The sequence below is a fragment of the Homo sapiens genome, chromosome 3 (genome assembly GCF_000001405.40).
Source record: "Homo sapiens chromosome 3, GRCh38.p14 Primary Assembly".
In the NCBI taxonomy this organism is placed as follows: domain Eukaryota; kingdom Metazoa; phylum Chordata; class Mammalia; order Primates; family Hominidae; genus Homo; species Homo sapiens.
The window spans coordinates 193468188-193492370 of record NC_000003.12 but is presented as its reverse complement, the minus strand read 5'-3'; the positions used below and the strand labels follow the sequence as shown (position 1 = coordinate 193492370).

Genomic DNA, 24183 nt, shown 5'->3' with positions numbered 1-24183 from the left:
AGTCTGTGGGCTTTGAACAAATACCTTTTCCTCTCTGGACCTTTGTTTCCCAATCATAGACATGGGTAGAAGGACTCTTTAAAGGCCTTGCTGTTCTAAGTTTCTATGATTCACATGCTTCCCCCTTCCCCATTTCTAGTACTTTGAAGAGATGTACAGCCTAGCAGAATCAGCATCACCTGGGAGCTTGTTAGAAATGAAGGATCTCAGACCACTTTTCATCCCATTGAATCAGAATCTTCATTTTAACAATATCACCACATGATCTATATAAACATTAAAGTTTGAGAAGCACTGCTCTCATACATTTGACCAAGCTATTTAATCTGAGCATCGAGGTGGAAGACACAGAGAAAGCGGTTAGTGTTTTCAACAGTAACATAACTCATAAAATGTCTTTCCTCTGCATAATCAAAGAAACACATCTCTGGGTTTTAGAGACACTGAATCAAAAAGCTGAATAATTATGTGTGTAGAGCTATTTTTGAGATCACAGAGCCTTTCCACTCACATTAAAATACATTCTGAAGTTTTCCAGAACTTCTAAATAGGGGTAGGAAAGTAGAAACAGCATTTCCTTATCAATAAAAGTAATTTCTCTTAACTACCTCACTGTCTTACAGTAATAAAACCGGAATTGAGGAGAGACAGAGTTGGGAACATGCCAATCCTGAAAGTACTTGAATGAGACAATATTTAATATTAAATACCCAAAATACCATTTAGGAAAATATTTAGACCTTGGAAAGAGTATGCTTCTAGAAGCAATATGGTCATATTTATCGTTTTTGCAACTGGGAACCCTCACCTCCCATTATTTTGAGAAGGATCAGAATGGTATTTAACAAGGGAGACTTATGTTGGTCTCACAAGTGAGAAAGTGAACATGGAATAGACCTTTTTCTGAATAGGTGAGGAGTCAGTTTTAATTTTATTATTTGTGACAGAGTGATCTGTGATTTCTTTCTATAGGAGGTTAATATGTGGGCCTAATACTATCGATGTTGAAGTTACACCAATTTGGAAACTGCTCATCAAGGAGGTAATTTCTCCAGCATTTTCTCTTGGTGTTGGACAGAAAATAAGGAAGTTTGGCTCTAGTGAAATAATCAGGAGTGCTAATTGTTAATAAGTAACTTCACATAGAGTATATTTTGAAAGTATGCCAAGCATATTATCCTCATATCTCTTGCTTACTCTTTTTCTTCAAGTGGTTCTTTTGCACATTGCCTTATGCAATATAGGGTGTGAAACTCATTGTACTTATTTACCATTTAATGGCTGGATGAATATAATGTTTCTTTTCTTTTTTAATACTATGCTGCTTAACTTGTTTTAACTTCATGAAACTCAATTTTTTTTAAGCTAATCCTTTTGTTAGGTAACAGATACAATTTCCTTGGTGCCTAAAATTGTAGGAAGAAAAAAACCATTTATTCAGCCTTCTCAGTACTGCTGATCTCAAGGTATAAGATGAAATTTTCCTTTTGGACCCCATCACTGAGCTCATCATTGTTTCACTTTACAGCGATTATTATCAAACCGTAGCCCTCTAGCTGTCCTCTGGCTTCCCTGTGCTCTCTCTCGACTCCTCCTTGCCTTAAAACAAGCTTACTAAACTTCAGGTACTTTCAAAATATTTCCAACAAGCCGTCAAGCATGAAAGAAAGTAAAACAAACCAATAGGGAATGTTTCTGTGTGCTGCCTTTCTAACCAGAAGAAAGGTTTGCCATTCCTGTTTTAGAGAGAGGGAAACCAGCTAGGGGGAATTTAAGTAAAGGCACAGCATGTTTTTGACCAAAGCAGAATTAAAGCTGTTGAAGTTCACAGCTACTCTCTCGCACAGTGTTCTAGATGCTCTATTACAGCTTACTGCTTTCAGCACAGCTCTCTACTTATGAGAACATGCAGTCTTCAACTCACCCATTAATCAAGTTCCTTAATGACTTCAAATATGGCAGGTGTTATATCATAGAGAAGAAGAGACTAGAAAGTATTTTAACTTTATAAACCTGAACTAATACTTCACCTTTCTGAAGGCCAGTAAATGTAGACAGGAGGTGACAACATCTACTCCTTAAATAACTATTGTGATGGCCGACATGTCAATACATGAGACACTACTTTGTAAATTATAAAGTGAGGCAGTGATTAAAAGTAAGTGCTCTGGGGTCAGATTGCCTGTGTTTAAGTCTTGGGTCTGTGGCAATCATAGTCGCATGACTTTGGACGTATTTCTCAAGCTCTAAGTTTCAGTTTCTTTATCATTACAAAGGAGATAAGTAACAACTTCTGGTTAATAAGGTAACTGTGGGAATTCAATGAGAAAATTCAAGTAAAGTTGCTTAGAGCGGTGTCTGGCACGTGTCAATTGCCGAATAAATATAATAAGAATATTGTGTGGGATGATGTATGTCATGAAGATGATTATGAAAACAAGTAAATGAAGAGCAGAGTGAAGCCTAAAACTCTCCCTTGTCTTCCTGTTTTTATGTCTGCCAACAGGTTCTAAATCCATTTTATATATTTCAACTCTTCAGTGTCTGTTTGTGGTTTAGTGAAGACTATAAGGAATATGCTTTTGCCATCATAATCATGTCCATAATTTCCATATCTTTGACAGTATATGATCTCAGAGAGGTGAGTTTTTCTATTAATTCTATGGTTTCATAAAGGGAAGGATAATGACTTTATTAAAAATTTGTTAGAAAGGAGAATCAGGAAATAGTCACTTCCTACTCCGTAGTAAATGAGAGCAAGTTTGTAAATACCTAGCACAGTAACCAGTGTTCAACAATTTAGTCCTTTCCCTTTCCTCCCATTCCAATCCCTAACCTTTGTAGTTATTTTTCCTCCCTCTTTAATTTACTCAAGACTAATTAGCCAGAACAACATCCAAAGGTTTATGAATTGTGAATATGTGAAAAAATTTATGTAGAGAATACTGATGGGACTTGAGGATGGTGGCAGAGAGCTGGAAGGTGGAGGAGTCTATTTAATATGAACTCCTTTGCTGTTTATGTTTGGCTGGTACTCATTTGTCAAGGCCCCAGTCCAACTCCTGACTTTCTTTATGCCTACACCAGGTTTCTAGATACTGTTGGAAAAAAAAAATTACATAGAACAGATTGGTTGGTTGCACTATAAATCCGTGAATGCCAACCTCATCCGGACAAGGCTTCTGTTCATCTCTAATCAAGGTGCTCTTCTGTTCTCTGAAATTAAGGTTTCAAGCCATCTCTGTCCTCTGGTGTCTGAGACGCCCATCTTCTCATATTCCACTCTTTCTTTAATTCAGCAGATATCACTATTTCACAAAAAAAGATGGAAGCCATAAGACAGAAAATTGCCCAACTCCCCACTTTCCGAGTGCCAAATGACTCATCTCCGCAGCCCCCTCCTTCCCTGAACTCTCATTCCAGTGAAGGAAGTGCCCTTCGCCAGTGCTTGAGAGACCATCCACTCCCACCTTCCTGGGGTGCTTGTGCAGTCCATGAATGACTCCTCTCTTCTCTCCTCAAGAGCCTTCCCATCAACTTTTAACATTCTCAAGTTCTCCCAACTTAAAAACAAAACTCAAACAAACAAAACAATTTCTTCTCTTGACCGTGCTTCTGCCTTCAGCTACTACTATATCACTCTTCTTCCATTCACAGTAAAACTTCTAGAGTCTTTGTGTCTGTTATCATTACTTACTCATCTTCCTCTTACTTTTCACTCATGCCGACATGTCTTCCTCCCTCATGACTCCATTTAAACAAATCTTGTTAAGGTTGCCACTGTGATCCCAAAGCCCATAGATCATTTTAAAATTTAAAAAGTTCTTTTAAAATTAGCTGTTTTTTTCCTTAACAGAAAGGGCAATATATGGCTATGATAAAAATAAAATTCAAACCGAACAAAAGAGTGTGAATAAAAATTAAGGCTCCCTCCCGCTGGGAAAACTTCCCAGTGTTCAGGTCCTGTTTCAAGATACATCCACTAGGACCATATTTTCTGTATACTTTTAGTTATATTAAATGCATATGCATTAATTTGTTTAACAGAATGAATATATTCTATGTGTACTGTTCTGCACTTGAATTTTATTTATTTATTTATTTTTGAGATGGAGTTTTGCTTTTGTCACCCAGACTGGAGTGCAATGGTGTGATCTTGGCTCACTGCAACCTCTGCCTCCTAGGTTCAAGCAATTCTCCTGCCTCAGCCGCCTAAGTAGCTGGGATTACAGGCATGTGCCACCACACCCGGCTAATTTTTGTATTTTTAGTCGAGACGGTGTTTCACCATGTTGGTCTGGATGGTGTTGATCTCCTGACCTCCAGTGATCCACCCACCTCAGCCTCCCAAAGTGCTGGGATTACAGGCGTGAGCCACCGTGCCCAGCCTCCACTTGAACTTGAACCTATTATATCCTAAATATCTTTCTGCATCTGCACAAATACATTTTCTCTAGATGTACCGTAATTTTTAACCAGTCCAATGTTGATATGTATTTGGTTGTTTCTAGTCTTTTGCTACTAAGACAATGCTGCAAGAACATCCTTGCACATATATCTTTTCATGCATCTATATATACATATACATATGCACACATATTACATACCTATACATATGTATATAACAAGTATGTATGCTTATAAATATCTGTATTGATATAGAGATAGAAAATTTCTGCAATTGAAATTACCTAGTCATAAGCTAGGCACACTATTTTAAACATATTGTCAAAATGCCTCTTTAAAAAGTAATACTGGCCAGGTGTGGAGGCTCACACCTGTAATCCCAGAATTTTGGGAGGCTGAAGTGGCAGGATAGCTTAGACCCAGCAGTTCAAACCAGCCTGAGCAACATAGTGAGACCTCGTCTCTCTATGTATATAAAAAAGTAATACCAGTTTACATTCCTTACAACAGTAGATAAGTGTTTTTCTTATCTTTGCCAATATAAGTGAAAATAGAATTCAGTAACTCTAATCACGTTTTCCATTACGAGTTGAGCATTTCTTCACACTTTAAGCCATTTGCATTTCTTTGACTGGGAACTGTTTGAGTCCTTTATTAATTTTTATTAGGTCTTGGTGTTTTGCTTACTAATGTTATGGTCCCCCTGCAGTGGATATTTTTTTTTCCCCAGTACCGATATCGCTAAACCTCTCAGTTGGATTTGACACGGTTAACTGCTCCATTCTTTCTGAAGCACTCTTTTCCCTGGCTTCAGGGACAACACACTCTCCATCCTCTCCAGTTGCTCTTTTCCGTTCTCTTTTGATAGCTCATCCTTCTCTATCTGACTTTTAAAAAATGAGTGTTCCAAAGTCAAAACAACATGAAAATGCATTTAATGTAAAGGCTCCATTTTTCTCTCCCACTCCACTTGGCCGACTGCTTACATTAGTTTCTTGTGTAATCTTCCAAAAAAGTTTTTAGGCAAATGAAGCAAATATATGTACTTTCTTTTTTTCTTATGTAAGTGGTAGCATAATTACATTATTTTCTAACTTGCTATTTAAAAAATTACTATTAATATATCTTGAGGATCTTTTCATGTAAGTGCATAAAAGATTCTTCATTATTTTTATAGCTGTACATGCCAATGACTTCTAAAGGCATATGCTAATAGCTTTCAAATTTGTATATGTATCTCAAATCCAGATACCTCTTTTCAGTTGCAGACTCATAGCTTCAACAACCTATTTGATATCCCCACCTTAATATCAAAAAATTACCTTAAATTCAACACTTTTGACATAAAACTCAAGAACTCTTCTCCTCAAATCTGCACTTAGGTTTATCTGATGTGGTAGCAGATACTGCTGACCATTCTGTTGCACAAGCCAGAAATCTGGTTGCCAACCTTGAAACTTTCTCTCTTCTTCCCCTTCAACTACACAGAAAGTCCTTTGATTTTTATTTCCTAAATATCCCCTGGCATCCTTCACTGTTTTCCACCCTACCACTATTACGGTTCAAGTTAGCATAATTTTCTACCTTGCAATCACCTCCCATCTGGCCTCCATACATCATTCTTGCAGAATATGATTATTTACATGCTTTTATCACTAAAATGCTTCAAAATATTCCCATTGGTCTTACAATAAACTTCTAAATCTCATCGCAGACTTTAAAGCTTTCCCTGGAGGTTCACAAACTTTTTAGTTTCTAGAGCTCTTTAAACTCTTAAAAATCACTGAGGATCTCTAAGAGTTTTTAATCTTTTAAACATTTGGTATTTACCAAATTAAGAATTAAAACTCAGAATCATAAAATATTTATTAATTAATTTAAAATAATAATAACATATTTATATATACATATATATTTAAAGACAACTGTATTTTCTGAAATAAAAATAATTTAGCAGGAGAATGGCATTATTTTACATTTTTGCAATCTCTTTTATGTTTGGTTTAATAGAAGACAATTGGATTTTCTTTTTTTTTTTTGGCTTATAAGCAACAGAATTTATTTCTTTAGTTATGGAGGCTGGAAAGTTCAAGATCAAGACACCAGCAGATTCAGTGTCTGGTGAGATCTCTCTTCTGGGTTCAGAGATGGTACCTTCCTATTGCATCCTCACATGGTGAAAGAGACAAGGCGTCTCTCCTGGGTCTCTTCTATAAGGGCACTGAAATTATTCATGACCTAATCACCTTTCAAAGGCCCCTTCTCCTAATATCATCATCTTGGGGGCTAGGATTTCAACATAGGAATTTTGGGTCACATTCAGACTGTGGCAGTCTTTTAAAAAATTTCTATGTCAATTGATTTTAATACTTTGATAATCGTATTTCTTTTTTTATTTCCGACAATTGGATTTTCATAACTGCTTCTGCATTTAGTCTCTTGTGATATTAAACACCACTCAGCCTCTGGACGTCTCCACTGTACACTTGTGCGAGAATAAGATGCTAAAAGGCAATTAACACCTTAGTGCCATTATGAAAAGGGTATACCTGCTCAGCCCCTGTGGGACATTCCTAAAAACCCCCAGGAATCCTCAGGCCACTCTCTAAGGACTGCTGCTCCACCTGTACGTGTAACTGCTGCTCCACCTGTACGTGTAACTGCTGCTCTACCTGTACGTGTAACTGCTGCTTTGACTTATTTCTCCTGCCTTCATTCACCCAGCATCTCCCTTGCTTTCTGCCTTCCAGATGCGCTAGGCTTTTTGTTTCCTGAAACATACTCTTTTTTTGCTTTGACTTATTTCTCCTGCCTTCATTCACCCAGCATTTCCCTTGCTTTCTGCCTTCCAGATGCACTAGGCTTTTTGTTTCCTGAAACATAGTCTTTTTTTCGAACCTCAGAACATTTCGATATGTCACCTGGAATTGTCCATTTTTTTTTCATCTTCATGATTTGCCCTTACCCCTTGGCTAAATAACTCCTACTCAGATCTTAGGTTCAATGTCACTTCTTCAGGGGAGATTTCTCCTGATTGATTCCCTTTGCTATAAATGATCCAAAAGTACTTTATTTTTTCTTCTTATTCCTGATTGTCATTATACATTTATATATGTAGTTACTTGATTAAAACCTACTTTTCTCAGCAGGCTGTAAATTTCTTGGTGTTAAGAACCATATCTCTTTTGTTCATTCTATTCCTGAAATATTAAAATTTGCTCAATAAATGTTTGTTGATTAATGCACAAATGGGTAAAAGAATGAGTTACTCAAAAGCAGAACACCCTGTCTTTTTGACATTGGCTTATTCTGTTAATCATTTTTAGAACATATTTATCAGATTCGCAAATAATTTGAAGCTAGGGAATTTAGGAAGTATCTTAAATGACAAAATCAGGACGACAAAATGAACACACTAAATGACTGGGACTTTTAACCCCCAGAATCAAGTAGAAGGTCTTTTACACAATAGTTTCCTAATAATGTGGAATCAAATATAATTGTGTTTTTTGTTTGTTTCTGTTACTGACTCACTCTCAATATCCCACATATTTCATGTATTAGAACAGCAAATATTATGAGGAAGTAGCAGGAACCACCATACTCCTTATTTATTTATTTATTTATTTATTTATTTATTTATTTATTTATTTTGAGACAGAGTCTTGTTCTGTCGCCCAGGCTGGAGTTCAGTGTCAAAAACTCTTCTGAGTGGAAAGAGCATGCTGGGAAATTCCTTTCTGCTGAAGAAAACATACTTATTGCTGGGTGAAGAGCACTAGAAGTTGGATGCTTTTTCAATTAAATAATGAGTACTTAGTCCTTTGTTTTTAGCCAGTACATTCCATTCAACTGGCAGTAAGACAGTGCTCTATCTTTAAAGAAGCCTAGCACCTTAATAATACCTAGAAACTATGCTCAAATAGATAAGACTTTTCCATTTTTCCTTCTTTTTCAGCAATCTGTAAAACTCCACCATCTCGTCGAGTCACATAATAGCATTACGGTCTCTGTATGTGGGAGAAAAGGTAAGTTCCATTATTTTAGATCTATATGCTATTCACATGGAATCAGAAAAGAATTTAAATTTGTATTTCTGATTGCTGCTGTTATTCCCATCTTCATATTCATTTCTCCTTAGGCATTTGTTCAAAGGGATGAGGAACTTAAGTTTTTTTTTTTACCTTAAAAACTACTTTAGACCGGGTGCGGTGGCTCACGCCTGTAATCCCAGCACTTTGGGAGGCCGAGGCGGGCTGATCACGAGGTCAGGAGATCGAGACGATCCTGGCTAACACGGTGAAACCCTGTCTCTACCAAAAATACAAAAAATTAGCCGGGCGTGGTGGCGAGCGCCTGTAGTCCCAGCTATTCAGGAGGCTGAGGCAGGAGAATGGCATGAACCCGGGAGGCGGAGCTTGCAGTGAGCCGAGATCGCGCCACTGTACTCCAGCCTGGGTGACAGAGCGAGACTCCATCTCAAAAACAAAACAAAACAAAACAAACAAACAAAAAAACTACTTTATTGGGGTGGAATTAACATTTGGTAAACTTAACATACTTATAGTGTAGAATTTGATAAGTTTGGCATATGTATATTCCCATGAAACTATCATAATCCTCAAGGTAATGACCATTCATCACTCCCAAAAGTTGCCTTGTTCCTGTTTCTAGTTTTTTTCTCTCCCGCTTCCTCCCAACTCCCCCATCCCTCAGGCAATCATTTATCAGCTTTCTGTCACTGTAGATTCATTTCCAGGCTCAATATTATACATAAATGGTATTTTACAGTATGTATTCTTTGGGTCTTTTATAATATATTTTTGGTTAATTTTGGGGGGGATCAAAGTTCATAGTTATTTTGGGATTTATCCATTTTTTTAAGTGTATCAATCATTGATTCCTTTTATTTCTGAGGCTATCTCAGTGTATAGACATACTAGTTTGTTCATCCATTCACCTGTTGATGCATTTTTGGGTTCCAGTCTTTGGCTATTCCAAGGAATGGTGTTATGATCATTTGGATACAAGCCGTGTATAGACATGCTCTTTCATTTCTTATGGGAAAATACCTAGCTATAGAACAGCTGGGTCATGTACTAGATAGATATTTAACATTTTAAGAAACTGCCAATCTTTGGTCCAACGCAGTGGCGCCGTTTTACACTAGCAGTGTATGAGAGTTCCAGGTGCTCCACATTCTTGACAACACTTGGTATGGTTACTCATTTTAATTTTGGCCACTTTGGTGTGTGGTAGTATCTCATCGTTGTTTTAATTTGTGTTTCCCTAATGACTAATGGCATTGAACATCTTTTCAAATACTTATTTGCTGCTCATATACCTTGTTTGGTGAAGTATTTGTTCAAATCTGTTGTTTATTAGATTATTTTTATTATTAAAATTGAGAGTTTATTCTACATTTTGGATACAAGTCCTTTATCAGATAAATGATTTGCAAATATTTTCTCTCAGTCTATGACTTACCTTCCCATTCTCTTTACAGTGTTTTTCAAAGAGCAGACATTTTTATTTTTGTTAAAGTCCAGTTTATCAATGTTTTCTATTGTGGATCATGCTTTTGATGTAATTTCTAAGATATTTTGTTAAGGTCACCATGATTTTCTGTATTGTCTTTCAGAGTTTTAGGGTTTACATGTAGTTCTATATTACATTTTGAATTTTGTTTTTGTTTTTTTTCGATTGAGGGTCATCTTTTGCAAACAGATATCCAAATGTTCCAATACTGTTTGTTGAAAAGATTATGTTTTCTCCACTGAATTGAGTTTTCATCTTTTGTCAAAAATCAATTGTTCACATATAGGTGGATCTATCTCTTGATTTCCTACCCAATCTTATTGACCTATTTGCTTTTTTATAGCAATACCATACAAAGTTGCTTTATAATAAGTCTTGAAATAGGGTAATGTTAGTCCTACAGTTTTGCTCTTCTCTTTTAGAGTTATTTTGACACTATTGAGCCCTTTGGGTTTCCATATGACTTTTGAACACAACCTGTCAATTTCTTTAAAAAATGCTGGGGTTTCTTTAGAATTACAATAATTTATAGAAATACAGGCTTAAGTTTGTAAATCTTTAGAAGCTCATTTAAAAATCTGTTAGAATTCCTCATTCAGTACTAATATGAAATGTACAATAACATAAACAATGGTCACAAATAAGATTCAAAGATGCCAATGTTTTATGAGATATTTTCCATAACCTGGGGTTGCTTCCTTAGAGTATTCCTAAGATGTCTACTGATCTCTCTGTTAAAGTCATGCAGTGGGAACAAATGTCGATTTTCTTTGCCAAGAAAATACCATAGATGAACATTAAAAACAGTTCTGTAAGCCAAAATTCACATCTGCACACACTTAAAATGTAGCTCTGTTTTAAAAAATAATAATTTGTAATACATCCTGAAAAACACAAAAATGCTCTACACCTGGCTGGGTTACCAGTGTTTAGCCATAAGTGCAGTGATACAGGTTATGCAATTACTGAAACTGGTAAGTGTATTCTAAATTGTGGAAATATGTATGTGTTTTTGTATTATAACCCTTTTTGGTATCTATTTCAGGCTTGTTTATATTATATACATATGTAGAATATAAAGTTCAAAACATGCTCTAGTGATGTAACCAACCAATTAAAGGAAATAAAATATTTTTAAGGGGAATATAAGTTTTTTTCCTGGTTAAAAATTATTTATTTATTTTGGTATATGAATAAGTTCTTTCGTGGTGATTTCTGAGATTTTGGTGCAGCCATCACCTGAGCAGTGTACACTGCACCCAGTGTGTACTCTTTTATCTTTCACTCCCCTTCCACCCTTTCCCCTGAATCTCCAAAGTGCATTGTGTCATTCTTATGCCTTTGTGTCCTCATAGCTTAGCTCCCACTTATGAGTGAGAACATATGATGTTTAGTTTTCCATTCCTGAGTTACTTCGCTTAGAATAATAGTCTCCAATTTCATCCAGGTTGCTGCAAATGCCATTATTTCATTTTTTATGTCTGTATGGTATTCCATGTTACATATATGCCACATTTTCTTTATCCACTCATAGATTGATGGGCATTTGGGCTTGTTCCATAGTTTTGCAGTTACAAATTGTGCTGCTCTAGACATGCACATGCAAGTATCTTTTTCATATAATGACTTATTTTCCTCTGGGTAGATACTCAGGAGTGGAATTGCTGGATCAAATGGTAGATTTACTTTTAGTTCTTTAAGGAATCTCCATAGTGTTTTCCATAGCAGTTTTACTAGTTTACATTCCCACCAACAGTGTAAAAGTGTTTCTTTTCACCACATCCTCGTGAACATCTCTTATTTTTTGATTTTTTGATTATGGCCGTTCTTGCAGGAGTAAGGTGATATCGCATTGTGGTTTTGATTTGCATTTCCCTGATCATTAGTGATGCTGAGCACTTTTTCATATGTTTCTTGGCCATCTTTATATCTTCTTTCAAGAGTTGTCTATTCATGTTCTTAGCCCAATTTTTGATGGCATTGTTTGTTTTTTTCTTGCTGATTTGTTTGGGTTCCTCGTAGATTCTGGGTATTAGTCCTTCAACAGAAGTATAGATTGCAAAGATTTTCTCCCACTCTGTGGATGTTCTGTTTATTCTGCTGGTTATTTCTTTTGCTGTGCAGAAGCTTTTCAGTTTAATTAAGTAATTAAGTACCATGCATTTATCTTTATTTATTTATTTATTTGCATTTGCTTTTGGGTTCTTGTTATGAAGTCTTTGGCTAAGCCAATGTCTAGAAGAGTTTTTCTAATGCTATCTTCTAGGATTTTTATGGTATCAAGTCTTAGATTTAAGCCTTTGATCCATCTTGAGTTGATTTTTTATAAGGTGAGAGAAGAGGATTCAGTTTCATTCTCTACATGTGGCTTGCCAATTATCCCAACACCATTTGTTGACTAGGGTGACCTTTCACCACTTGTTTGTGTTCGCTTTGTCAAAGATCAGTTGGCTGTAAGTGTTTGGCTTTATTTCTAAGTTCTCTATTGTGTTCCATTGGTCTATATCCCCATTTTTATACTAGTACCATGCTGTTTTGGTGACTGTGGTCTTATAGTATAGTTTGAAGTTGGGTAATGTGATACCTCCAGATTTGTTCTTTTTGCTTTGTCTTGCTTTGGCTATGCAGCCTCTTTTTTGGCTCCATATGAATTTTAGGATTATTTTTTCTAGTTCTGTGAAGAATGATGATGGTATTTTCATGGGAATTGCATTGAATTTGTAGATTGATTTTGGCAGTATGGTCATTTTTACAATATTGATTCTACCCATCCATGAGCATGGGACATATTTCCATTTGTTTGTATCGTTTATAATTTTTCAGCAGTGTTTTGTAGTTTTCCTTATAGAGGTCATTCACCTCTTTGTTTAGGCGTATTTCTAAGTATTTTATTGTATTTTGCAGCTATTAGAAAAGAGGTTGCGTTCTTGACTTTTTTCTCAGCTTGGTCACTGTTGGTGTCTAGCAGAACTAGTGATTTGTATACATTAATTTTGTATCCTGAAACTTTGCTGAATTCATTAACCAGTTCTAGGAGCTTTTTGGATGAGCCTTTAGGGTTTTCTTGGTATACTATCATATCATCGATGAACAGCAACAGTTTGACTTCCTCTTTACTGATTTGGATGCCCTTTATTTCCTTCTCTTGTCTGATTGTCCTGGCTAGAACTTCCAATATTATGTTGAATAGAAGTGGTGAATGTGGGCATCCTTGTCTCATTCCAGTTCTCAGGGGAAATGCTTTCAACTTTTCCCCATTCAGTATAATGTTAGCTGTGGATTTGTCATAGGTGGCTTTTATTACCTTAAGGTGTGTCCCTTCTATGCCAATTTTGCTGAGGGTTTTAATAATAAAGGGATGCTGGATTTTGTCAAATGCTTTTTATGCATCTATTGAGATAATCATGTGATTTTGTTTTCAATTTTCTTTATGTGGTGTATCACATTTATTGACTTGTGGATGTTAAATCATCCCTGCATTCTTGGTATGAAACCCACTTGATCATGGTGGATTATCTTTTTGATATGCTGCTGGATTCAGTTAGCTAGTATTTTGTTGAGGATTTTTGCATCTATGTTCATCAGGGACATTGGTCTGTGGTTTTCTTTTTTTGTTATGTCGTTCCCTGGTTTTGGTATTAGGGTGATACTGGCTTCAAAAAATGATTTAGGGAGGATTTCCTCTTTCTCTATCCTGTGGAATAGTGTCAATAGAATTGATACCAATTTTTCTTTGAATGTCTGATGGAATTCAGCTGTGAATCCATCTGGTCCTGGACTTTTTTTTTCTTGGTAACTTTTTAAATACCATTTTAATCTTGCTGCTTGTTATTGGTCTGTTCACATTTTTCCTGGTTTAGCCTAGGAGGGTTGTATATTTCCAGGAATTTATCCATCTCCTCTAGATTTTCTAGTTTATTTGCATATAGGTGTTCATAGTATCCTTGAATGATCTTTTGTGTTTCTGTGTTATCAGTTGTAATATCTCCCATTTTGTTTCTAATTGAGCTTATTTGGATCTTCTGTCTTCTTTTCTTGGTTAATCTCACTAATGGTCCATCAATTTTATTTATCTTTTCAAAGAACCAGCTTTTTGTTTAATTTATCTTTTGTGGGCTTTTTTTTTGTTTCAATTTCATTTAGTTCTGCTCTGATCTTGGTTATTTATTTTCTTCTGCTGGGTTTGGGTATGGTTTATTCTTGTTTCTCTAGTTCCTTGAGGTGTAACCTGAGATTGTCTATTTGTGCTCTACCAGACTTTTTGATGTAGGCATAAAAAAGTTGGGATTTTTATTGGTATTGTGTTGAACCTATAGATACATTTATGGAAAATTGACTTAGTAACATATTTCAATCTTTCTCTCTATGAATATAACACTGCTTCGTTTGTTTAGGTTTTTTATTTCTTTGGCAGTGTTTTGCAGTTTTCAGTGTGTGGGTCTTACACATTTTTTCTGATTTATTTTTAAGTAATTCATATTTTTGATGCTATTGTAAATGATATTTTAAAATGTAAATGTTCAGTTGTTCATTTGCTAGTAGTTCCATCATGGAAACATGCTGATCAGTAGTTTGCTTCACACTAAGGAGAGACCCTCGGCAGATCTTCGTGGCTCTCCCCTGGACAGTTACCTCCCCAGCACTCTGCTCTATGAACTCAAGCTGCCAAGATCTCCATCGATGCTCATCTTTGTGTTCTGAACTCAGTAGTCATCTGGACTTGGTCTGGTTTCCCTTCTCTGCATAGTGGCTTGGAAACTCTTTAAAGACAGTAAGCGTGGCAAATGTAGAACACCTTTATTTGTTTCCCATCTCTTTCGTTGTTTGATGTTCAGTGTCTATAACCCATTGTTTCATATATTTTATATGGTTGTTTCCAGTGGGAAGATAATTCTCATCCTTTTTATTCTCTCTTGGTTGGAAGTGAATTTTTACCTTTTAAAAATATAATTGGTCATTTTTTGTCCATATTTTTTATGATAAAACACTTTGAACATATACAACTGTAGAGAGAATACTGTAATAAATCCTCACGTACCTATCACACAGATTAAATAATTATCAACTTAATGAATCTTTTTTCATCTGTTCTATTAACTCTCCACCCTAGATTATTTTAGAACTATCCCAGATATTATATTTTATTTGAAAATATTTCAGCATATAGCTCTAAAATATAAAGAGTCTTTTTAATTCCTTTGTCACATCTTTTAAAACCTCATAATTTTAAAATAGTTATACAGGCAATGTTCAAATTTCCTCAATAGAATCAAGTACTGTGTAGACATACTTATGATACATATGCAAGCACGCTTTGTTTTATTGCCCCTTGCTTTATTGTGCTTCAAAGATACTGCATTTTTTTTTCCAACTGAAGATTTCTGACAGTCCTACATTGAGCAAGTCTATCCGTGCCATTTTTCTAAAAGCGTGTGCTGTCTTCATATCTCTGTGTCACGTGTTGATAACTCTGGAAATACTTAAGACTTTTTCGTTGTGATTATATCTGTTAAGGCAATCTGTGATCAGTGATATTTGATATTACTATGATAATTGTTTTGGGGCACTATGAACCATGCTCATGTAAGATAGCAAACTTAATCGGTGTCAGATGTTCACCAACTGGCCATTCCTGTCTCTCTCTCTCTCTTTCCTCAGGCCTCCCTACTCCCTGTGACCCAACAGTATTAAAATTAGATCAATAAATAACCCTACCCTGGTTTCTAAGTGTTCTAGCAAAAGGAAGAGTTACATGTTTCTGATTTTCAAGTAAAGCTAGAAATGATTAAGCTTAGTGAGGAAGACATGTTGAAAGCTGAGATACACTGAAAGCTGGGACTCTTGCACCAGTTAGCCAGGTTGTGAATGCAAAGGAAAAGTTTTTGAAGGAAATTAAAAGCGCTTCTCCAGAAGTGAACACACAAATGATCAAAAGCGAAGCAACATTACTGTGGATGCGGAGAAAGTTGTAGTGGTCTGAATAGAAGCTCAAACCAGTCATATTTCTGTAAGGCAAAGCCCAATCCAGAGTCAGGCCCTAACTCTTTAATTCTACGAAGGCTGAGAGAGGTAAGAAAACTACAGAAGAAAAGTCTGAAGCTAGCAGAGTTTGGCTTATGAGGTTTAAAGAAAGAAGCCATCTCCATACATAAAAATGGACGGGGAAGTAGCAGTACCAGATACAGTGCTTATAAACCTCAATAAGAATGTTGCAAGTACTCATTTTAATGGTGTTAGTCATTGTTTCTAGGTCTTTTTAGAAAACATACTTAGGAAATAACTTTTTAAGATAAAATGCATTATGAGGTCATACTGACCTCATAACTTCCAATTCAAGTTTAGAATTCATAGTTATACTGACCTTATAATTTCCAATTCAAGTTTAGCACTATGGGCTTTTTACTTTACTTTATTCATTGTACTTGTGTTTCTCTTTTCTCTATACCCAAAGTTCTGGTTCTCAATGACAGGAAGAGATTACTCTTTTGCTTTATCCCATTGTATATAATAACCTCAGAGTGACAAACTAATGCACTCAGCATTAATGTAATTCCTAAAAACAATTTAAGATGGTTTTAGAATTCTTTTTTTCCTGTTTGTAACATCCCATTAGAAATGTACAGTCAAATTATACATTGTTCATTAAAGTCACTCAAAATAGTTTTCTGTTGGTTATGCCAGCAACTTGATAGGTTTATTTTGCTCCTTTTGCTTTAGATTTTAGTGTTAGCTTTTCAAACTTATATTTGTATTATTTTGTATAGATATAGAAAATATCTACATGGTTTGAAAGTCAAATCTGTAAGACAGAAGACATTCCAGGGAGTCTGGTTCCTATTCCTCTCCTTTCTGACTTATGTCTTCATTCTCTCTATAATCATCACTTTGGTTTTTATTTATTCTTACATTTAAAAATATAAACAGATTATATATAATATTCATAGCTATATATTACATATACAAAATACAATATATATTAATACTGCTGTTTTCTAGATGAATAGAGGTATATCAAACGTATTTAACTGTATTTCCTGCTGCGTATATTTTACATACGTAACTATGTTTCCCAGGGACCATTTAGTATATACAGATATTCTTCATTCATTATTTCAGCTGCATGGTACTCTCTTGTGTGGAGGAGCCATTGTTTATTCAGTCAATCCTCTATTGAAAAAACATTTCTCAGTTTTTTACTACTACAAATAGTGCTGTAATAAAAAGCTTTGTACATATGTCTTTTCATATTTTTGCCAGTATATCTTCGGCACAGATTCTGAGAAGTAAAATTGCTAGGTTAAGAAATAAGTGCTTATGTACTTTTGCTAGAAAAATATTGCCAAAATTTCTCTCCATAAAGATTGTGCCAGTTTACATTTGCACCAGAAATGTGTCAGTGACTGATTCCTCGCAGCCTTGACAATAGAATGCGCTGGAAATTTTGCACATTTTTCTAATCATAAGGTGAGCAATGTTATCTCATACATATGTCTCACTCTCTTTTTTAGAAAGTAATTTAAAACTTACAAAAAAGTTGTAAGAATAGTTTAAATAACTTTTTTTCTAGAACTTCTTGAGAATAAGTTGCCGACATGTAGCTCCATGATCATGACCCGCACATCCTTTCATGTACTCCTTTTCTCTGTTTCTTTCTTTCTTTCTCTTTCTTTCTTTTTCCTTTCTTTCTTTCTTTCTCTTTCTTTCTCTCTCTCTTTCCTTCCTTCCTTTTTTCTTTTTCTTTCTTTTTTCTTTCTTTTTCTTTCTTTCTTTCTTTCTTCCTTTCTTTCTTTCTCGTCTCTCTCTCCTTCCTTTCTTCCTTCCTTTCTTCCTTTCTTTCCTTCTTTCTTTCCTTCTTTCTCTCTCTCTTTTTTCTTCTCTCTCTCTCTCTGTCTTGACAGGGACTTGCACTGTTGCCCAACTGGAGTGCAATGGTGCAGTCATAGCTCACTGCAGCCTCGACCTCCTGGTCCCAAGTAATCCTCCTACCTCAGCTTCCAGTGTGCGCCACCATGCCTGGCTAATTTTTGTATTTTTTGTACAGATGGGGTCTACTGTGTATTTCTTTTCTTTTTTGTTTGTTTTTTTTTTTTTTTTTTTTTTTTTGAGACGGAGTCTCGCTCTGTCACCAGGCTGGAGTGCAGTGCAGTGGTGCGATCTGGGCTCACTGCAACCTCTGCTTCCTGGGTTCAAGCAGTTCTCCTGCCTCAGCCTCCCGAGTAGCTGGGACTACAGGCACGTGCCACCATGCCCAGCTCATTTTTTGTATTTTTAGTAGAGACGGGGTTTCATCATGTTGACCAGGATGGTCTCAAACTCCAGACCTCATGATCCACCCGCCTCGTCCTCCCAAAGTGCTAGGATTACAGGTGTGAGCCACCGCGCCTGGCCTCTACTGTGTATTTCTGAAAGACAAAGACATTTTCCTACATGAAGGACTGTGCAACCAGGAAGTTAATATTGATGCATTTCTCCCAACTAATGGTCAGACCTCGTTCGTGTTTTGCCAGTTGTCTCAATAATGTTCTAATAGAAAAGAGATACAGAATTACACAATGCTCTTGTTTGCCATGTCTCTTTAATCTTCAATTTTTAGTTGAATTCTGTGACTTTGACTCTTCTGACTCTGGTTATTTTATAGAATGTCCTTCAGTTTGAATTTTCTGATGTTGCCTCATGGTTAAATTCAGGTTATGCATTTTTGGCTGGAATATCACAACATGATGCTGTGTTTTCACTGCTTCCTCTCAGATGGTACATAATTTCAATTTGTCCTATTACTGGTGATGTTAACTTATATTACTTAATTAAATGGTATCTGCCAGGTTTCTCCATTGCAAATTTATTATTTTCCTCTTTGTAATTAATGGTTATTTTGTTGAGAGATACTTTGAGATGATATAAATAAACCATCTTCATCAATTTTTCACCCACTAGTTTTAGTATACATTGATGTTTCTTGGCCAAATTAATTATTACTTTGATAGTTGCCAAATGATGACTTTTCTAATGTTATCTCTCCTTCTACATTAATTAGTTGCCATTTTGCTGCAAGGAAAACCTGTCTCTTCTCCTTATTTATTTATTCATTTACTGAAGTCATTATGGACTCATAAATCCTTATTTTATTTGATGGTTATAGTTCTTTCTTATCATTATTTACTTTGATGTTCAAATTGTTACAGATTTAGGCAGTGAGAGCCCTTTAAAGTTGGCTTTGATATTTTTGTAATATGTCCCCAACATTCTTTGAGCATTTCTTTACTTAATGGCACAAGAAGATGTTCTAGCTTATATTATACTTTTCTTGGCGCAGCCTGTACTCAGTCCTCTCTCTAAGGAAACCTTTTTATTGGGAGAAAGGGAATTTAGAAACCAAACTTTGGGCACTGGATGTGCTCATTACTATTGGTGTATAAACAAGAAGACTAGCAAACATGTTTATATATTCTTATAATCACACATACTTACATCTATATTGTTTCTCTCTATCTAGTACATTGATATTTTTCATTGGAATCTACTATCACAGGGTTTATTGTAGTTGTATCTCTTTCTCTATTTGTAACTTCCTTTCTTCAGTGAGAAACCTGGCTGATTAACGTCATTTTATCTACAGGAGTCCCCTCTTATCTGCGGGAGGTACATTCCAAGACCCCAGGTAGATGCCTGAAACCATGGGTAGTACTGAGTCTGATCACCGTCATTTGGAACACGTTTCTGTTCCTGTCTTCCACCCACACATTTAATGCCTTTACCATGTTATCTAAGCACTTACACACTGTGGTTGTAACGTTTGCAGTTTGAGGTGCGACGCACAACTAACACAAATTTCTTTTTCCTTCTTCACAACTTCACAGATAGTTGATTCGTTCTTACTATAGATCTTAGCAACCTCAGCATACAGTTTTGTTTTCTTTAAGTCGAGAACGTTCACCTTTTCACTTAAAGGAAGCACTTTGCTGCTTCTCTTTGATATAACTGAATTGCGAGCATTACTACTCTTGTGCTTTGGGGCACAAGTAGTAAAATGAGGGTAACCTGAAACAAGCACAGGGGTACTGCAACAGGCAAGGTACTACCCAGGTGACTGACAAGCAGGGAGTGTATAAAGCATGGATTCTGTTCCAGGTGGGATGGAGCGCATAGCCCTAGATTTAATCACTACTCAGAATGGTGCACAGTTGGAAAACTTATACATTGTTTATTTCTGGGATTGTCCACTTAATGTTTTCTGACTGCAGTTGACTGCAGGTAACCGAAACCATGGAAAGTTCAACTGGAGATCAAAGGAGACTACTGTACTTATTGTACCATTTCTGCCTGGATGCAACCAATCTTTCATCACCGCTGATGCTCCCACTGCCCCTCATCCCACTCCTATGTAGACACCCTTTTCACCTTGCTCGGGTCCCAACATCCCACAGCGGGCCACTGCCACCATGGGGGCCCTTCTGTCCTTGCTCAAGCTCTGACACCCTATACCAGGTCATGTAAACACCCTTCCATCCTGCTTAGGATCCAATACCCCAGAGCAGCCTGCCACCCCACCCAGCCCCCTGCAGGAATGCCTATCTTGCACAGGCCCTAATAGCTTTAAGACTGAATAAGGAAGAAAAGAAGTAAAGGCAGGCAGGCAGGCAATCAGGAAGCAGGGAAGAACTTTCATTTCTCTTATCATGGGTAAGAATGAACAGCTTTGCAGACACTTAACACACCACTTGTGTTTGTGTTTGTGTGTGTGTGTGTGTGTGAAGTGACAATATCTAGCAATTTTGCTATACAGTTATTTGCTGGAGATCTGTTTTTAAAAGGAACTCTTTATCTATTAGGATTTTTTTTTTTTTGAGGCAGGATCTTGCCCTGTCACCCAGGCTGGAGTGCAGTGGCACGATCATCACTCACTACAGTCTCGACCTCCTGAGCTTAAATTTAAGCAATGTTCCCACCTCAACCTCCCAAGTAGCTGGGAGTACAGGTGTGTGTCACCATGCCTGGCTAATTTTTTTATTTTTTATTTTTTGGTGAAGATAGATAGGGCTCCCGCTATATTGTCCAGGTTGGTCTCAAACAGCTAGGCTCAAGTGATTCTCCCGCATTGGGCTCCAAAAGTGCTGGGATTACAGGCATGAGCCACTGTGCTCAGCTGGGAATATTAACCTTTTATCTGTAATGTAAGTTTCAAATTTGCTTCTGAATTTGTCATTATTTTTTTCTTATTACTTTGCCACACAAAGATTTTTATTTTATGTAGTCTAATTTGTTACATTTTTTTCTTTTTGTTTTCAAATTTTGAATCAATGTTGAGGAATGTTCTCCTTTCTAAAAAAAAAATGTCTTGGTTGCTTTTTCATTGATATCCAAGTTAAATAGATGTTGGATTGTATTTTTGTGGGAAAATAACCTGACTCAACTCTGTCTCCTCCCACTTTCAGCTGGAGTTCAAGAGCTGGAATCACGCGTCCTGGTGCCTGGAGATTTATTAATTTTGACAGGGAACAAAGTGCTAATGCCATGTGATGCCGTTCTGATTGAAGGCAGCTGTGTGGTGGATGAAGGCATGCTGACAGGTACAGTTCCATCTCCACAGCTGACAACCTCTGTGGGCTGGCCCACACTCCACGCTGCTATGGTCCCTACGCCTCCTCCTCTACCTGAATGACAGTGGCTGGCTGTAAAGCACTGGCTGCTATGGGACCTTCCCGTTGCCACAAATCTTACTTAGTCCTGCTGCGAATGGATCTGAGGGTTCAAATTAAAGCTCTTTCTATGTGTTAAGTTTGATACAATAATAAGTTTTTGAGTGTTTAGTATTTCTTTCTTGAACAAAAGATTATTACAACCCTCTCATTTACCTTAAAAGATTGTAGAGATCATTAGATCTTTCAGAATTGTCTGTGACTTTTATGTTTATTTATTTTAAATAAAGCATGTTTTTAAATAAACTTGGAGGGTTTGAAAATCATCAGTGACATCCTGAAACCCACAGGGGTCATCCAAATTCTTCCTGGCCTGGCTTGAAAATGTTAAGAAATTCATGATGCAGCATTTGGTAAAGCTGCTGCTTCCAGTCCAAAACTGGGTGTTATGGACTAACTGTAGTTCATTTTCAAATGGCAGTGCTGGAGCTGGGTGGGACCTGTGAGGTTATCTCATATCATAGGCATGGCAACTGAGGTCCAGAGAGGTGACTTGCTTAAGGTTACACTGCCTTGATTTCTCACTCACGTGGCATAATGATGAGATGTTTGGCTGACATTGCTGTAAGATAAAGAAGAATCATAAAATGTTTCTCAGAGATAAAATGAGAGGCTGTGAACGCACTCTTATTGGTGTATCATGGTTCCCATTCAAGTTCAGATCAAATCCATTTCTCTCAGGCAGCCCAGAAAGACAGGTAATGGAGACAAGTGTACACACCTTCTTCCTATGTTAGCTTACAAAGAATAGATGTGTCGCAGACCATGGCAAAGCAGGTTCTTTTCCCTCAAAATCCCATAGATTCATAAAAATCCTGTAATGCTGGGACTTCTGCAGTGCCAAGTACCATTTTCCTAATGAAAGTAGCCTTAATATACTGTAATGCAACTCCGACTTTCTATTGACCACTCTGCAGAGACCATCAAAAGACTTTAGAAACTTGTTCCTCAGAACAGGCCACAGTTATTTCATGGCTTCATTCATTACCTTGTATTAGCACTTCAAGCCTCTGCAATAGTCCCCTCCCACTGCACTGGTAAAAGTTGCCAAAGTCCCAATTGCCAAACGCAGTGGACTCTTTAAATTTCTTTATTTTTGAGACATAGTCTCACTCACTCTGTCACGCAGGTTGAAGTGCAGTAGCTTGATCTTGGCTCACTGCAATCTCTGCCTCCCGGGTTCAAGCAATCATCTCATCTAGGCCTCCATCAAGTAGCTGGAATTACAGGTGTGCACCACCATGCCTGGCTAATTTTTGTATTTTTAGTAGAGGTGGCGTTTCACGATGTTGGCCAGGCTGGTCTTGAACCCCTGACCTCAAGTGATCCACCCTCCTGGGCCTCCCAAAGTGCTGACATTACAGGCATGAGCCACTGTGCCCAGCCTGATTCTTTAAATTTCTCAACTTATTGTCCTGTCTGTTCCATTTGACTATTCTGACCAGCTCTCTTTCTGAAAACTATCTTCTCTATAACTTTCTAAGATAATTCTCTCTCTCCAAATTCTTCTACCACTGACTATACCCATTCAGTTTCTTCTGCTGCTCCTCTTCCTCCATCTCCTGAATTGTTGGTGCTGCTCATGGCTACATCCTTGGCCTTTCCTCTTCTCACTCTATACTTGGTCTCTAAGTAATCTTGTCTGCTTCTGTGACTTTAATTATCATCCATAACCTCATGAGCTCTGGCTAAATATCTCTCGTCCAGGCCTCTCATCTGAGCTTCAAATCCAAATAAATCTCAAACTGCCTACAAGGCTTCTCAACATGGTATTTCTACAAGGCAACTTCAACTTACAGTGGCCAAAAGACAATTCTTTCTCTCCTCCTGTAATCCCTGTGTTGAGGAATAATGTTGCCTTCTGCATATTCTCCCAAGTCAGAACTAGAAAGTCATTGTAAATTTCTCTGTCCCTATGACCTGCCAATACAAACATTTTCTCAAGTTTTGTAGCTTCTTACTTCCTTGTTTCTTTCCTTTTTTGAGACAGAGTGTCACTCTATTGTCCAGGCTGCTGTGCAGTGGTGTGATCTCTGCTCACTTTCACCTCCACCTGCCAGGCTCAAGTGATTCTCGTGCTTCAGCCTCCAGAGTAGCTGGGATTATAGGCATGCACCACCACACCCGGCTGATTTTGTATTTTTAGAAAAGACAGGGTTTTACCATGTTGCCCAGGCTGGTCTTGAACTCCTGGCTCAAGCGATCTGCCTGTCTCTGCCTCCCAAAGTGCTAGGATTAAAGGCGTGAGCCACTACACCCGGCCACTTCCTTGTTTCCTGAATGCAGTGCTTCCTTTCTATCCCCACTGCCAGCTGTTATAGTTCAGACCTCATCCCTTGCAACTGGGATTCCTGTGATTATTTCCCAATTGGATACCCAGCCCAGCCTCCAACCTCACCAGACTTTGATTCATTCCCTGTGCTATGGACAGAGTGCTCTCTCTTATACATAAATATGATATTACTCTCCTGATTAAAGTGGTTAAATCTCTCTACATCCTCCTTCAGTCACCAGTGCCTTTATTTATTTATTATTTATTTAT

At 37.1% G+C, this 24183-nt stretch overlaps 1 protein-coding gene across 4 annotated transcripts in view; it reads left to right on the top strand.

Moving 5' to 3' along the window:
• The window catches only part of ATP13A4 (ATPase 13A4), a 194153-nt gene that overhangs the window by 100749 nt on the left and 69221 nt on the right, over positions 1-24183 (top strand). For all 4 annotated transcript variants that reach the window (XR_007095757.1, XM_047449063.1, NM_032279.4 and 1 more), the window contains 4 exons: positions 973-1042; positions 2507-2641; positions 8366-8435; positions 21378-21512. Coding sequence is in view for 3 of the 4 variants with exons in the window: in XM_047449063.1 (XP_047305019.1) it covers positions 973-1042; positions 2507-2641; positions 8366-8435; positions 21378-21512 (410 nt within the window). In the remaining variant the exon portion in view is untranslated. The remainder of the gene's footprint in view (positions 1-972; positions 1043-2506; positions 2642-8365; positions 8436-21377; positions 21513-24183) is intronic.